At 40.4% G+C, this 16414-nt stretch overlaps 1 protein-coding gene, 1 long non-coding RNA gene and 1 pseudogene across 4 annotated transcripts, besides 5 other annotated features; 2 read left to right on the plus strand and 1 right to left on the minus strand.

Annotated features, from left to right (window-relative positions):
* Positions 713-818, plus strand: RNU6-307P (RNA, U6 small nuclear 307, pseudogene; annotated as a pseudogene).
* Positions 1668-3835, minus strand: LOC105371622 (uncharacterized). Of its 2 annotated transcripts, none has more exons than NR_188647.1 (2): positions 3784-3835; positions 1668-1922 (listed from the first exon to the last, which is right to left on the minus strand). It is a non-coding gene; the product is annotated as an uncharacterized LOC105371622 (long non-coding RNA). The 2 variants fall into 2 exon arrangements; NR_188648.1 differs by lacking the exon at positions 3784-3835 and adding an exon at positions 2834-3491.
* Positions 3257-3466: an enhancer, noted in NCBI's record as "active region_2126". NCBI's record gives its function as "activates an Ori minimal core promoter by ATAC-STARR-seq in GM12878 lymphoblastoid cells {active_cell/tissue: GM12878}" and the evidence as "EXISTENCE:reporter gene assay evidence [ECO:0000049][PMID:35858748]".
* Positions 3257-4006: a biological region, named in NCBI's record as "H3K27ac hESC enhancer GRCh37_chr1:174968357-174968892".
* Positions 3409-3945: an enhancer, noted in NCBI's record as "H3K27ac hESC enhancer chr1:174968357-174968892 (GRCh37/hg19 assembly coordinates)". NCBI's record gives its function as "activates a minimal SCP1, AML or CMV promoter by ChIP-STARR-seq in primed H9 embryonic stem cells {active_cell/tissue: H9 hESC(primed)}" and the evidence as "EXISTENCE:reporter gene assay evidence [ECO:0000049][PMID:30033119]".
* Positions 3497-4006: an enhancer, noted in NCBI's record as "active region_2127". NCBI's record gives its function as "activates an Ori minimal core promoter by ATAC-STARR-seq in GM12878 lymphoblastoid cells {active_cell/tissue: GM12878}" and the evidence as "EXISTENCE:reporter gene assay evidence [ECO:0000049][PMID:35858748]".
* On the plus strand, positions 3624-16216 carry CACYBP (calcyclin binding protein). Of its 2 annotated transcripts, none has more exons than NM_001007214.1 (6): positions 3624-3878; positions 8803-9022; positions 10934-11030; positions 11287-11386; positions 12798-12895; positions 14112-16216. In NM_001007214.1, exons 2-6 carry the CDS (start codon positions 8917-8919, stop codon positions 14266-14268), a joined length of 558 nt encoding a protein of 185 aa, NP_001007215.1. In that variant the 5' UTR covers positions 3624-3878; positions 8803-8916; the 3' UTR covers positions 14269-16216. The 2 variants fall into 2 exon arrangements, with proteins under 2 accessions (NP_001007215.1, NP_055227.1); NM_014412.3 differs by lacking the exon at positions 3624-3878 and adding an exon at positions 4136-4384.
* Positions 4037-4156: a silencer, noted in NCBI's record as "silent region_1566". NCBI's record gives its function as "represses an Ori minimal core promoter by ATAC-STARR-seq in GM12878 lymphoblastoid cells {active_cell/tissue: GM12878}" and the evidence as "EXISTENCE:reporter gene assay evidence [ECO:0000049][PMID:35858748]".

The raw sequence follows: 16414 nt of genomic DNA on the forward strand, positions 1-16414 counted from the left end.
CATCTCAATTGTTCCAATTACAAATTCTGGAAAAAATATGACTGGCTAATCCTGGGTCAGGTAGCTGCTGTTAGTCCTTTAAGGTACAGCAAGGTAGGAGATACTATAAAATTCAAACTAAACTTCAGAGGCACTTATGAAAGTGGAGATAGTGTGCAGAGAATCCCAATCATATCTCATTTGCATTTGCATTTTGTGCTGGGAATCCATGGAACCCAAGTGAAATCTCAAGAGATTTGTCAGCTCCTCTTGGAATTCAGCATGTATTAAAAAATAATCAAAGACTGTAAGATTACAGCTTTTGGCCCAAATTCAGACCACAGACATCTTTCATTTGGCCATGTGGTATTTTTTGTTTGTTTGTTTTCTGAGATGGTCTTGCTCTGTCACCCAGGCTGGAGTGCAGTGGCGTGATCTCAGCTCACTTCAACCTCCACCTCCCAGGCTCAAGTGCCTCCCACCTCAGCCTCCCAAGTAGCTGGGACTACAGGCATACACCACCATGCCTGGCTGATATTTCTATTTTTTATAGAGACAAGGTTTTGCCACATGGCAAGGCTGGTCTCAAACTCCTGAGCCCAAGCAATCCACTCGCCTCAGCCTCCCAAAGTGCTGGGATTGCAGGCATGAGCCACCATGCCTGGCCCCCATCTGGTGTTTTAAACAATGTGAAATTTTACATAAAAAGTAAAACAATCAAAATTACTCAGAAGTGCTCACTTCAACAGCACATACACTAAAACTGTAATCTACAGAGAAGACTGTTGTGTCCCCTGCACAAGAATAACACACAAATTCATTAAGCATTCCATATTTTGCACAGTCCCCAGAAGGTCATTTATCTGCTGACAAGCCCGAAGGGAACAGTATGAGTCATAGCAAAAAAAAAATTAAAAATATCCATTGAATTTGGCAGTTAGGAAATCATGAGTAAGCTTGACAGGTACATTAACTGGGGGAAGCAGTAAAGGCTGCCTGCAATAGGACAACTGAATGAGAAATAATTTCATTTTGAAAGGAAAATTATTCCAAACTTTGGAAACAAGGCAAAAAGGTGAGTGGCATGTCCTTTCAGTGTCAAACCAAGGACTAGGGGATTGTACTTTGTTCATTTCATCGTTCACTATTGATTTAAAAGTCCTATACTGAATCTATACATTAACTTGTAGATTTTTGTCCAGTAAGAATGCAAATCCCTACTTCCTTTCCAGTGGAACAGATAACACCAAAAGTTATAGTTTATTACCCTGTGAGACATTAACAGGTTTATATCTAACCTTGCCACCTTATACTAACATTACATTGTTAAATTGCCTATAAATACCTGGCTACTCAAATACACTCTCAGTAACTAATAAGTCGAATAAAGTATTTGTCACATGTCCATTTATATTTGCATAATATTGTCTGGAAAAGCCTCCCTTAGTGTTACTTCTGAAAGACCTAAATAGAGTGAAGAAACGATCTGTGTGATGACCTAGAGGAAGAGGATTACAGGTAGAGAGAAAGCTGGGTACAGACTTGGAGGCAAGAGCAAACCCAGTGGGTTCAATGAATAAGTAAAGTGCCAGACTGTTTAAATCAGGGAGCGGGGAAGGAAGAGTGGTGAGAGATGGGTTCTGACATGAAGCTCATAAAGGTGAGATAAGATACGTAAAACACTCAAGTTCACATTAAGGAGTTTGTACTTTATTCTAAGCCTAATAGGAAGCTGTTAGAGGTTTTTAAGCAAAGGGATATAATGATCTGAAAAGATATCTCGAGCTGCTCTGTGGAAAACTAACTCTTAAGGCACAATGGGGAAGCAGAGAAATCAGTTAGGAAGATAAATTTCAGACAAAATAATGATGACTTGGACCTGGGTGCGTAGGGTAAGAAATATCTTTTCCTTCTACCCATTTTAGGCTCACTGGCTGGGGATCCTGTAACAAAAGACAAATTAACAAGAGAAAAGCATAAATATTAATGTTAGTTTTACATAACATGGAAACTTCATAAAGAAATGAAGACCCGAATAAATAGTTAACCTTAGTGTTGTTTAGAGTAGGTTTGAAGAAGAATGGAGAATTGTGGGAAAATGTGATGGGGCTAAAAGACTGTGATCTAAGGGTAATAAACTGGGGGAAACTTAGCAAGGCCTGATGTTCATATTCGTCTCTACGTCCCTGTGTTTTCAGAGATAAAGATGTTACTTTTATTCCAGGTATAGACAGGGCAATTCTCACATGAGGGTATTACGTCCTGCTTCAGAGCAGAAAGGTGCAAGAAAGTTAGAGACATTCCTGCATATGTTCTTTCTCAAATTCCTTCAGTTCAAAGTATTCAATATGTCTAGGTGCCATATTTTTGGGTAGCATGTCCCAAACCCCGTCAGGTGGTAGAAGCAGAGGTTGTGAGAACTCGTTAAATTCGCTACATATTTTGAAGATTAAGCCAGTAAGGCTTGTTATATAAGATGTAAGGCCTGAGATAGAAGACTCAGGTATGAGTCCTTAGCCTGAGCAATTAAGAGAACGAGGTAACTGTTCACTGCATTAGGTCCATGGGATATTTGTTTTTATTTAATTATGTACTTAATAATTCCAGGCTATTGGTTGGACACTTAAAAAAATTTATACGATAAAATACACAGCTCTTAGGAGTTCATCCCATGAACTTTGACAATTCTATGTATCGGTGTAATATTTCCATTACCTGGGCAAATTCCCCTTCGCCGGGCCTTAAGCATAATCTACAGAAAAAACTACGTACATAAATATACGTTTACAACTCAATGAGATTTCTAAAGTGAACCCACCTATCTATAATCAGTGTCCAAATCAAGAAACATTACCTGAACCTCAAAAGCCCCCTGGTGGCTCTTTCATGTCATTGTCCTCCCCACTATGCTCATTAACACCATGGGCTAGTTTTTAAATGGAACCACGCAATATGAACTCTTCCATGTCTGGCTTCTTTCCCTCAACTTCATTTTTTTGTGTGAAATTCACGCATGTTGCGTTTCGGTAATTTATTTTTGTACTGTACTTCCGATTCTTTACTACAGATAATGGTCAGCCTCCATTCCGCTAACAGCTTTTTTTCCTCTCCGAGTTGCTGATTCTAATTGCTGCCTTGGACGATCTATAAAGCTGAGTGCGCGCTATGTGACCTCTCAGGGGTCGCTGCCTTGGACGATCTGTAAAGCTGAGTGCGCGCTATGTGACCTCTCAGGGGTTGTTTCCAACCGTGTTGTTGACATCTTGAGCCTGCCAAGGACTAGAATAATCTGAAAACTAGGCTTCTCTGGGGGTCTCACTGAGTGACAGGGTTAGAACCAGAAGAGAACATCGTCTCCAGAAGACATTTCACCATTTTCTTTGATGGTAAACAGGCTCACTTATACCGAATCCAAACCCAGGCGAGAACTACGGACTCTTGAAATGGTCGGTGAAAGGGGCGAAAGCACCAGGAAATCGTGCTTCAACAGTCCATGACTGAAAGGAGGGCCTGAAACTGTGGCCATAGGCGGGCCCTTTTGTTAGGGCCTTGACCTGGGCTTCCGCTACAGGGCCCGGTCACGAGGCCAACGTAGCTCCACCTCCTACGGCGGCCAGTGATGACGCCACCACGTCGGAACTGTTAGACCGCGGTGACGTCTCCACCGCGCCAAACTCACTGAAAATCAAACCGCTACCATTAGGAGCCCTCCACGCTTAACATATCCGTTCTTTCTCGTTTGAAAGTAACCAGGCTGCTCCTCCCCATTTTTCGCCTTCTTCTCGCGGAGGCTGAGAGACTAACCTTACACAACATGGCGGCCTGGTGTGTCTGGTGTCCTAGAGCGGACGAAAGCAGGTGACTCTCTAGTCAACTTCCGACTTGGACTCCGAAGATCGGTACGTTATTTCCGGGGCTGGGTTAACGCAGCGGTTCCGAGCTGCGACTGCGCAGCGTGGCCCAGCGCGGTCAAATTATAATACATAAAAGTTGTCAGGGCGGAGAGCAAGACATTACTCTTCTCGGATTGCCGGTTCGCTCGCGAGACTTGAGCGTTGCTAGGAGATTCGGCAGGCGGGCGGAGCCAGACTCGGCGGGGCGGGGAGGGGTGGGGCTAGGCTCGGCGAGGCGAGGAAGGGTGGGTGGAGCCAGGCTTGGCGGGCTGTGCGTGCTCGCGGTGGGCGGTGGCGGCGGCTGCCTCGCGAAGGTTCGAGATCCGTCGCGTGCGGGAGGCGGGCCGCGATCTTGCGCAGGGTCGGTGTGGGCGCAGGCTGCAGCGCCGCGACTCGTGCGGGTAGGCGTCTGCGCTCGGTTTGAGGGCTCGGCGCGGGGTTTCCTGTTCCTCCTTCTGCGCGGCTGCAGCTCGGGACTTCGGCCTGACCCAGCCCCCATGGCTTCAGAAGAGGTAAGTGGTCCGGCCCCATATTCCTTATGCCCCCCGGCTGGAGCTGCAGCGCCAGCCTCCCGCCCTACCGCCGTTTCCGTGGGCTGAGCCGCCCTGCGGCCACCCGGTCCCGCGCCAGTCAGTGCGCCGCCTTCCCGGGGGACACCTCACTCGCCCCTTGCTGCGCCGTCGGCTCCCCAGCGCTTCCACTCGACCTCGCACCCCACTCGCCTGCTGGGCTCGAGCGGGGGTGTGCGGCGATTATCCGTGCAGGCGGTGCGGGGAGTGGGTCTGGGAGAGCGGCCCTTTGCGCGTGTTCCTCAGGCCCTTTCTGCCCTGGTTTCCCAGCCAGTGGACAGGAAGCTTCATTCAAGCAAAGCTGGGTGCAAACATGAGTGTCGTTCTTGGTAGAGGGCGGTTGGAAGGTGAGTTCTCAGTGCTAGCACTTGAATTCTCCTAGTCAGGTTTTCTCTACACACGAGGAGCTGTGTTACTCTGGGCAAGTTGTTTAGCTTCTCTGTGTCGCAGTAGCATCCATTTCATAGGGTTGTTAAAAAATATGATTTCTAGGTGTTTAAGTCAGTGATTGGCAAACAGCAATCTGCTGTATGTGATTTTTAAAATAAATAACTTGGAAAGTTAGTTGTAATTAATAGTAAGAAAGCGAATGGCCTGTGTTAAAGCTCTGTAAACTCTGAACGTTGGAGAATTAAATTTTGTGGAGACTTAGTTTGCTCAGTTAGAAAATGGGAATGATAGTACTTGTATTGCTCATTTCCTGGCGTAAGTGGGAGGTGAAGACGGGACAGTTATTCACAGTTAAGTGTTGGGTGTGTATTAACTAGATTTGCTTTATGAAAACAAGTACTGGGGAGTCCCAAGCTTTTGTTTTGTTTTGTTTTTGTTTTTTAAACTCAAAATCTTTTCTTTAAATGAAGAAAAACTATGAGGTTTGTGTGTTCCAGTATTAATCTGGGTATCTTGTGACAAGTCTTTTAAGGTAGGTCTTGGGTACTATGTGCCCCTAGGAGATAACTTCACAGTCTTGCAGGTGGATAGCTCAGTGTTAGTCCTCTTGAAAGTAGAGATCGTTCTCAGTTTAGGCACTTAGAAATATACATTTGAGGGCACTTGATTTTTGTTTTGTTTGAGATAAAATTCAAGTTTTTAACCATTTTAAAGTGTACAATTCAGGTATTTGTTTTTTGTTTAAATATATTCACAGTGTAGTGCAGCCATCACCACTGTCTAGTTTCAGGACATTTTCATCACTCCAGAAAGAAACCATGTAGTGTGTTTTAAACAATTGCTTCCCATTCCTCCCTCAGCCCCTGACAACTACTCATCTTGTACTTTCTGTGAATTTGCCTATTGTAGGCATTTCATATAAATGGAGTCACGCTGTATGTGGCCTTTTGTTTTTTGGCTCCTTCAACTTAGCACTAACATTTTCAAGTTCATCCATGGTGTAGCGTGTATCAGTACACATGCTCTTTATGGCTAAATAATATTCTATTATATGCATGTGGCACATTGTGTTTATCCTTTCATCCGTTTATGGACATTTATTTCCACTTCTTTGTTTGAGACGGAGTCTCGCTCTGTCGCCCAGGCTGGAGTGCAATGGCGCAATCTCGGCTCACTGCAATCTCCGTCTCCCGGGTTCAAAGGATTCTCCTGCCTTAGCCTCCTGAGAAGCTGGGATTACAGGCGCGCGCCACCATGCCCGGCTAATTTTTGTATTTTTAGTAGCGACGGGGTTTCACCACGTTGGCCAGGCTGGTCTCGAACTCCTGATCTCAAGTGATCCGCCCGCCCGCCTCGGCCTCTGAAAGTGCTGGGATTACAGGTGTGAGCCATGGCGCCTGGCCTTATTTCCACTTCGTGACTAGCATAAATAATGCTGCTGCGAGTACTGTATCCAAGTTTTTTGTGTGGATGTGTTTTCAGTTCTCTGGGGTATATACCTAGGAGTGGAATTACTGGTTCATATGGTAACTTTCTGAGAAACTGTTAGACTGTTTCCAGAGTGGTTGCATCATATTCCTGTAAGAAATGTTTGAAGCTTCTGAAAGTTTCTCCACATCATTATCAACATTTGTTATTTTCTGGGGTGTTTTATTTTTCTTTTTCGGTTTATGATACCATCCTACTGGGTGTGAAGTGGCATCTTGGGAATTTGATATGCGTTTACCCAATGATGAAGATGTTGAGCATCTTTAATGTTCTTGGTGTCCATTTCTGTGTCTTTGGAGAAATGTGTGTTGAATTCCTTTGCCCATTTTTGAGGCACATTGGTGTTAATGCCTCCTAGTGAAAAATTAGGAAATAGGAAGATAAAGCTTGAATGCCTTATGGGTAGGGATAAAAGAGAAATAAAATTTTTATATACGTAAAACAAACACATGCCAAGAAGGCAAGGAAAATTACATGATAAATTAGATAGGAAACTAGGACATCTTAAAGTATTTGTGCAGAAAAAGCATCAAAGGAATCACCTTTGTTGGTTTCAAGTCTGCCAATAACAGAACTGAGGAACTGTCTCAGTTTTAAGTTTTTTCAGTGGATACTTCATAATAAAAAGAGTACTTTAGAGTCAAAACTGGCAATAAAGAGGGCTTGGGAATTCAGCCATTGGGGGAATCCCTTGCCTAATTCGAAGTACCTTTCTCATTCTGCTAGATAAAGTATTCCTATTTCAGTCAAAAAGCAAAACCTCTTGCTTAGACTTAATATATTTCATTTTACATTTCAATATTTTTATTATGAATTAGGAGTTGTAGAATCAGCGTTTTTTTGAAACCATTACAATAAAAATATTACTTTGAACTGAAACATTTTGGTTCTATGCTCAAAAGATGAGTTTGCAAGATTTTTTGTCATAGTAATATGAGCTGTTCTTGGAAGGGTCGAGAGTGTGGACAAGAGGGTTGGGCAGAGTTGATTTTTTTTTTTTTTTGGGAGACCGAGTTTTGCTCTTGTTGCCCGGGCTGGAGTGCAATGGCGCGATCTCGGGTCACTGCAACCTTTGCCTCCCGGGTTCAAGCGATTCTTCTGCCTCAGCTTCCCGAGTAGCTGGGATTACAGGCACGTGCCACCACACCCGGCAAATTTTTGAATTTTAAGTAGAGACGGGCTTTCGCCGTGTTGGTCATGTTGGTCTCGAACCCCTAACCTCAAGTGATCCACCCGCTTTGGCCTCCCAAAGTACTGGGATTACAGGTGTGAGCCACTGCACCTGGCCAGAGTTGAACTTTTTATACCATGTCATCTGTTATAGATAGGCAAAACTAGGGCATCTGAGTTAAATGAGATAACAAAAGACTTGTAGTAAAAGAAAAGAATTAGTTCTGTTATTGCATTTTATAAGACTATTAAGAAACAGGCTTTCAAACTCTGTTGTGCGTCTGATATTCTGAGTTATAAAGCACTAAAAGACTTTTTTAAATTGAGCTTTTGATATCAAGCTGTGACACAAGATTTTTTTGGTCAAGTTGGTAGTGTCAAGCCAGAGTGTAAAGTTATTGTAAGAAAAGTGAAACAGCTGTTTGGAAAGATCTTGTGTATTTGCAGTATGTCAGAGGGTAATTGGGGGAAAAAAAACTTAGGCTCAATAATTTTCTAACATTGTCTTTAACTCTTGAATTTCATAAAATGTTGCCTCTATCTCTAGAAAGTAGAAAGTAGTAGACTTTAATAGATGATGGATTGGCAAGAGAAGAAAATGAGAACGTGGTGGCTTTTTCAAAAGATAATTTCCAAGAGTATGTTGCATTTTCGGTCTTTTGTCACCTTCTGTGCAACCAACTCCTACACTTCTGAGTGTAAGACTGACCCAGCTTCAGAGCAAGACTTTTCCTCAAAAGCAGAAATTTTTTTTTTTATCTTTTGTCTTAAAAATTAAGACTTTTTTTATGTGAGGTATTTGAGGTGGGAAGATAATGAAGACCAATCAGTGACAGAAAGTGGAGCATTCATTACCTCAGTTAAGTTTGCTATAAAAGCATTTTACCATGGTCACTGCATGTTCTCTCATCTCTTAAATATTTTAAAAGTGTCTAACATCTAATGACACTCGGATTAGATGTTACAAGGAAATCTATGAATCCTTTGTCAAAAAAAAGTTCTTTGTTTTACTTTTTAGGTCGCAGACGTTTCTTGTAAATATTTTAAAACATAAACTGGAAAATTTAGGTTTGAAGACCTATTTATTGTTTGTTCAAGATTGTTCAAAGTTTTCCTTTTGAAAAAAAGGAAGCTTGAGTTAATTACAGTTAATAAGCCAGATGGAAGAATTGAAGTTGCAACTCAATCCTAGAAAATTTAGATGAACTTCTTAATTCTTAGTGCTTATTTCAGTAAGTTGAAATGAGTGATACGCACAATATCAAGCCATTTCCTTATTTATCATAGCTAACTTATTTTTTGTCTTAACACAGCTACAGAAAGATCTAGAAGAGGTAAAGGTGTTGCTGGAAAAGGCTACTAGGAAAAGAGTACGTGATGCCCTTACAGCTGAAAAATCCAAGATTGAGACAGAAATCAAGAACAAGATGCAACAGAAATCACAGAAGAAAGCAGAACTTCTTGATAATGAAAAACCAGCTGCTGTGGTTGCTCCCATTACAACGGGCTATACGGTGAAAATCAGTAATTATGGTATGACTTGCTTCCCTATAGCCAGTTCTGCCTCCGAGCAACCTATTCCTCATAGTGGTCTAACAAATTCATCCCCAATGAGTTTTGAGTCTGTGTTTTTGGTGGTTTGGAGCAAGACCCATCAGTTTTTATTTAATAAAACTTTTTTAAGATATAAATAGGAAAGGATGCGTTCTAGAAGCTGTTAACAAGAGTAAGGTGATTCACTACAAAATGTAACAACAAGGAAGGAACTTATTCTGAAATTGTTCAGTATAAGACACAGCTTTGGTGGTGGTGGTGGTGGTGGTGGTTTTTAATCATGTTTTATGTTTCACTCTGCCAACCACCACAATTAACTGAGGAGAGGAATCCAGTTAAATTCAGGAAATATTTTTGAGCACCTAATGTGTATCACTATTGTGCTTTGACTTACGGATACACAACAGTGACTAAGACCCAGTCCTTGCTCATGTTGTGGTTGGGACATTGACGTATAACTCGTAGTATAACAATGTAGTAATACTGTTTTCCTTCAATGGTGTATACAGTTTTTTGTTTTGGCGGCAGCGCAACTTGAATATGAATGATGAGCTCTCATTGGAGCAAGGACAGTCTTGTTTTTCTTTGTGCTAATAATGTCTAGCACATAATAGGTAACATAGCTGAAGAAATAATTCTGGAGGTGAGGAACAGGGAGAATTAGAGAGATTTGAGTGTGAAGGGTGAGTCGTACATTCAGCAAGTCAAAAAGGAGGGGAACAGCATGAGCAGAGAATGTGAATAGAGAGTTGGAAGGCATGATCTATTTTGAATATTGTTAATAGTGAAAAGCATGTGTATGTCGTGCTTAAGAGATGTACTATATAGTAATATAGGAAATTGCACCGTGTACTCAGTTGAGTATAGGAAACTGGTCTGAAGGTGTTGAGGATTATGGTATTTTAACCAGGAACATAGATTTGTGTTGAGGGAGAAACTTGTCAATCCGGAGGATGGACTGACTGAATGGGAAGAAACTATTAATAAATGAAGTTCTCTGGACCCCACTAGGGCATTTTTTCATCAACACTGTTTCTTTTTAATTTTCGAGGGTACATAGTAGGTGTATATATTTATGGGGTACATGAGATGTTTGATATAGGCATGCAATGTGAAAAACGTCATGGAGGATGGGGCATGTTTCTATTCTATAGGACTAAGTGAGCAATAGTCAGGGATATGTATGTATATATTCTTGATAAACAGAAGATGCTTTTTTGTGAAGTTTTTTATTTTCTACAAATGTGATGGTATTTTGTGAAGTATTTATATATATGTCTTTTATGTTGACAGAGTTCTTCTAGGTCAGAGACGTGCTGGTAGTTTGATAATACATACTGAAATGGCATTTAACAGATACCAGTAGGTTTGTCAGATTTGGATGAAGAATTGGAGTCTTTTACATTCTACTTTGCCCTGGAAAGGAATTAAGAGAGCTAGGATTCCATTTGTTTGACTACTTACAGAAGTAGAAATGGTTATGGAATTAGTATTGATACTTAGCCATCCAGCTTAGTGGAGAACTACCAATATTTAGATGTCGGACAAAATTGTTTCCATAAAAGCTGTAAATGAACTAATCTTAAAGAATGTATTTAGTGATCATATTTTTATTCTGAGGGATAAAAAGAGCATAGGTTTTGTATTCAGAAACCTGGATTTGAATCTGAATTCTACCACTTGTTAGATGCCTAGCTTTGGGTAGAGTACTTAACTGCTTTGAGGCTCCATTTCTCAACCTAGAAAATTTCTTATATTTCAAATTTTTTCATGTTTATATGACTGGATTTTCATAATTTTACTTTCCTGACTTATGAGCCATGTGCATTTGCTGTTCTAAAGATAGTTTCAGAGGCTTACTTACGTCCCATCTTTTGTTGTCGTTGCCAGGATGGGATCAGTCAGATAAGTTTGTGAAAATCTACATTACCTTAACTGGAGTTCATCAAGTTCCCACTGAGAATGTGCAGGTGCATTTCACAGAGAGGTGAGTTCTCATTATAATGGGAAAGACAGTGAATTAACAGTCAACATTGCCTTATCTTGAGACTCTCTTCTTTGCAGTTTTTAAAATTCTTAAATTTAGAATTAATTATCCTTTACAACTACTTTGAAGAGGTGAGCGTTAACTGGCCAAATGCACACCCTGAAATAAAGCCAGCAGCTTTTTTCCCACAAGAACTATGGAGTAAGGGTACCTTTCATAGAACTAGAAAGATGATGTATTCACCATTGTGTTGCAGGTCATTTGATCTTTTGGTAAAGAATCTAAATGGGAAGAGTTACTCCATGATTGTGAACAATCTCTTGAAACCCATCTCTGTGGAAGGCAGTTCAAAAAAAGTGAGTGTGCTTTTTTTGATTGTAATATTGTGAAACCTTACCAAATTGAACCTGGCTGATTTAGAACTGAGATGAACTGGAATGAATTTGTCCTCTGTAACAGGGACCACCGCCTGTTTTGTGAATGTTTTATTGGGACATAGCCAGGCTTATTTGTTCATGTGTTGTTTGTGGATGCTTTTGTGCTACAATGGCAGAGTTAAGTGGCTACAGCAGACCATATGGCCCTAAATGAAACCTAAAATATTTACTATGCGGCCCTCGACAGAGAACATTTGCCAACTCCTTTTGTAGAATAGGCTATTGTAAGAATATTCCATTAAAATCAGGGAGGAAGTAAACGTTTGAAGGTAGTTAAGAGTGAGACTTGAGTTTTATGCCAGGTTTACAGCTTATTGTTTGTGACCTTTGGCAGCTTAATCACTCTGTGCCTCAGTTTCTGCATTTATGCGATAGTAATAATTTATTTCACAAAGTTGAAATGATACACTGAAGTGCAATACCATTATGTAAAGTGCTTAAATTAATGCTAGTGTTAGCATTGTGCATAATACTCGTATACATAAAAGGAGGTCTTAAGCACTTAGCCTCCTTGGAGTTAGAAGCAGCTATAAAAATAAGGAAACTGTCTTTTAAAAACTACTCTTTGTAATTTTTACTAAATCAGATAGTCCCTGTTTTCTGCCTAATGTGAATAAATGAAGTTTAATGCGTTAGGTATATAGACATGACATTCTGCCATCTGTTTTTATAATACATAATTACTTAACAGCTTACAGGTGATACTCAAATATAGTTGGATTCGCTGTCTTACTGCACCCTTCTGCATCCGCTAGTCCCATAGGTAGAGTACCAAAAGATCCCTAGTATTGATCATTGTTTAAAAGACCTGTACATTGCCCTTCTTTCTCACTTTCAAATGCCTCACCTTGCCCCATACTGCCTTATACGACTTGGTTTCTTGCCTATCCCCGACCCCTCTTATTATATTACTGTCTTTTTCAGTCACTAAAATCCAGCCACTCCTCCTGCTCCTCAAACACACCAAGATGATCCCATCTTGGAGCCATTCTGCATGCTCTGCCAACTGCCTTCTCCTGACCTTAGGCTTCGGCTCAGATTTGCCTCAGAGAGGCCTTCCTAATGAAGTTCCTGCCCCCACCCCCCATTAACACCCGCTTTGTCTTGATAGCACTTTCCAGGATATCAGGGTATTCAAGTTTTACTTATTTATGGTCTTTTCACACCATGAATGTTCAGATTTTGGCCTATTCATACAAGTATTACTGGCACCCAAAATAAGTCTATACATACTAGGGACTTGATCAATTGAATAGATAATTGTTTTATAAATATTCATGCTTATCTCCATGTCTTCTAAGCTGTATTTGTTTTCCTGCTTTTCTTCCAGGTCAAGACTGATACAGTTCTTATATTGTGTAGAAAGAAAGTGGAAAACACAAGGTGGGATTACCTGACCCAGGTTGAAAAGGAGTGCAAAGAAAAAGAGTGAGTCTACTTCCATTTTTTTAAAGAATTTTAGTGTATTGTTTGAGATCATGGATTTTTAATAGTTTGTCTTTATGGATAATGTATTTCTGCTTTCAACTGTCAAACTACCTGAAGAGGGCACGTCCAGCAAGTTGCTTTTTAAGGTCTTTGTAGTTAAGGGTTGGCTCTTTAGTGTGGTTCTTAACCCTAGGCGCAGTTGTGCTTCTATACAAATAACTGTGCCCATTCCCAGATACTCTGTTTCGGTAGTTTGAGAGGGGCTTAGGTACCCCTGTATGTTTTAAATTTCTCAGATGCTTCTGATGCGTAGTTTTCATTGTCACTGGTTTATAGTGAAAAAGATAAAATATTTTTATCCTTCTTAATAATGACCTTTTAAAAATGTGTATTCAATGATACTTGCGTTCTAGGTCAGTTCATCTTCTAAAGGTACTGACTAAATTAATTCAAGACCCAGGCCCAGATCTGTGTATCTCAGGCTTAAGAGGAGAGTTTTTCTAATTAAAAAATACATGAGCTTCAGGGTACATCCATGTGTAATGTTTATGATTTTCCCTCAAGTGTTTTTTTTCAAATTATGAGGAAACATGCTTTTAAAAAATGAAAACAAGTTAGAAAATCAAATTCTTATTTTACCTGTCAAAAATCACAGGAGGCCAGGTGGGGTGGCTCACGCCTGTAATCCTAGCACTTTGGGAGGCTGAGGCGGGCGGATCACCTGAGGTCAGGAGTTTGAGACCAGCCTGGCCAACATGGTGAAACTCTGTCTCTACTAAAAATACAAAAATTAGCCGGGCATGGTGGCATGTGCCTGTAATCCCAGCTACTCGGGAGGCTGAGGCAGACAGAATTGTTTGAACCTGGGAGGCGGAGGTTGCAGTGAACCGAGATGCGCCACTGCACTCCAGCCTGGGCAACAGAGCAGGACTGTCTCAAAAAAAAAAAAAAAAAAAAAATCATGGGAAATCCCTGTGCCTAAAAATAGCCCCTAACTATTTTGATGACCTCTTTCGTGCACCAAGTGTGTGCATGCTTGATACGTGTGTGTTGTTTTCATTAAGATGAATTTGTGCGTGCCGTTTTGATTGTAAATATCTTTGGGTACTCTGTCTTCCTTCTTATCCCTCTACTTCCTGCCAGTGTTAACAACCTGAATGATAGTATCTTCCGGTGCTTTCGTTTCCCCATTGTTGTATATGTTTTCTTTTTAAAGGAAGCCCTCCTATGACACTGAAACAGATCCTAGTGAGGGATTGATGAATGTTCTAAAGAAAATTTATGAAGATGGAGACGATGATATGAAGCGAACCATTAATAAAGCCTGGGTGGAATCAAGAGAGAAGCAAGCCAAAGGAGACACGGAATTTTGAGACTTTAAAGTCGTTTTGGGAACTGTGATGTGATGTGGAAATACTGATGTTTCCAGTAAGGGAATATTGGTGAGCTGCATATATAAATTTGACAGATAGCTATTTACATAGCCTTCTAAGTAAAGGCAATGAATTCTCCATTTCCTACTGGAGGATTTATTTAAATAAAATATGCTTATTAAACACTCCTGCAAAGATGGTTTTATTAGTACCCTGGTCATTTTGTTCAAGGAAGGGTTATATTGCATTCTCACGTGAAATATAAAAAGCAAGTCTTGCCCAATAAAAACGCTACATTGTGTGTATTTTTTGTTCAGCTAAGAATTGGAAAAGTATTTGCTTGCCTTTTAAGTTACTGACATCAGCTTCCACCAGTGTAAAAATTGAGTAAAACCTGAAGTTTTGCATAAAATGCAAATCGGTGCCTGTGCTTGAAGGTTGCTGTAGAGCATCTGACCCCTTATTACCACCTTAAGCAATGTATATGCCATGCATTACCATGCACTAATTCAATCACAGGTGTTTCTATCTAGATTTAAATATATTTGTCAATGAATGTGGAATAGAAAATCTAAACATGACAATAATAGACATATCTTTGTATGGTACCAGTTAGTTTTGCCGTGGATCAGATGGTTTATAAAAGTAATAACCATAAAGCAAAAAATAATTTGAAAGCCCGTCTATTCCTATGCTCAATAAAGTTAAGTTTTTCTTCATTAGAACAGTTTTATGATTTATTTGTCTAGGAGTATGTCAGAAAAATCAGGCTTTTAGTAGGAATTACTCCTATTCCCCCTGAAGTCAGGACCAGTGCCTGTGATCTCCATTACTTTATTTTCCTGGAGGTATTAGCCAACACAGTTAGATCAGAGAAAGCAATTGAAGCCAGGCATGAAGGCTGGCGCCCGTAATCCCAGCTACTAAGGCTGGAGGATCACTTCAGCCCAGGAGTTTAAGGCTGCAGTGAGCTATGATGATGCCACTGTACTGCAGCTTGGGTAACAGATTGAGAACCTGTCTCATTAAAAAAAAAAAAAAAAAAAAAGCCGTTAGACACACAGGAAAAATCCAGAAGGGTAAACTAAACTAAAGCTACAATTAATATGGGAATTTGGAAGAAGTGGTAGGATTTAAAATACAGAAACAGTTTATGTATAGGATAGCTATAAGTAAATACTGAAACACATTATGCCTCTGTAATTGGGGTTGACACATGAACAGAATAGCAGACACAATGCATATGAAAGTTACAGAATATGGTAAAAGTGGGGTAAAGATGGGTTTTTAATGATACTAAGATAACTGAAAATAGGCATATAGATATATTCCAAGCCGCCTGACGATCTAATTGTAAAAAGTAAAGCATACAAATACTAGAAGAAAATGGAGGAAAACGACATTATATGTGACTTAAAACCTAGAAGAAATAAATAAAACTATTGATCAATTTTAACTACATAAAAATGTTTATAGGACAAGAAAAACCCCACCATAACCCAAGGCAAACAATGTATTGACAGGATTCCAATAATTAAGAATACTTCATACAAAAAGAAATGTAAATGACCTTTAACATGTAAAGATGCTCACCTTGTTCAGAAGAGAATAAACCAGTGTTTTTACCTTTCACTTGAAAAAGAAGTATAAAAACAACTGTATTGAGTTGAGGCTGTGGAGAAATAAGGACACATATATGGGAATGGAATGCAAAAGTTAAACTTTGGTTAACAAGAATATTTGGGCAGGTGCAGTGGCTCACACCTGTAATCCCAACACCTTGGGAGGCCAAGGTGGGCGGATCACTTGAGGTCAGGAGTTCAAGACCATCTGGCCAACATGGTGAAACCCTGTCTCTACTGAAAATAAAAAAAACTAGCTGGGCATGGTGGCAGATGCCTGTAACTCCAGCTACTCGGGAGACTGAAGGACAAGAATCACTTGAACCTGGGAAGCCGAGGGACGAGAATCACTGGAACCCGGGAGGCAGAGGTTGCAGTGAGCTGAGATTGTGCCACTGCACTCCAGCCTGGGTGACAGAGTAAGACTCTTGTCTCAGAAAGAGTATTTGGTAATAACCATCAGAATGACATATTCATTTATCCTTTGACCCAGAATTTTAACTTCTTTCTGGGCTCTGAAAGGT

Source organism: Homo sapiens, chromosome 1, assembly GCF_000001405.40.
Source record: "Homo sapiens chromosome 1, GRCh38.p14 Primary Assembly".
In the NCBI taxonomy this organism is placed as follows: domain Eukaryota; kingdom Metazoa; phylum Chordata; class Mammalia; order Primates; family Hominidae; genus Homo; species Homo sapiens.

Coding starts and splice junctions, on each gene's coding strand:
- CACYBP (NM_014412.3), top strand. Junction 11,031..11,286: donor CAGGTGCATTTCACAGAGAG/GTGAGTTCTCAT, acceptor ATTGTGTTGCAG/GTCATTTGATCTTTTGGTAA. Junction 11,387..12,797: donor TGGAAGGCAGTTCAAAAAAA/GTGAGTGTGCTT, acceptor CTTTTCTTCCAG/GTCAAGACTGATACAGTTCT.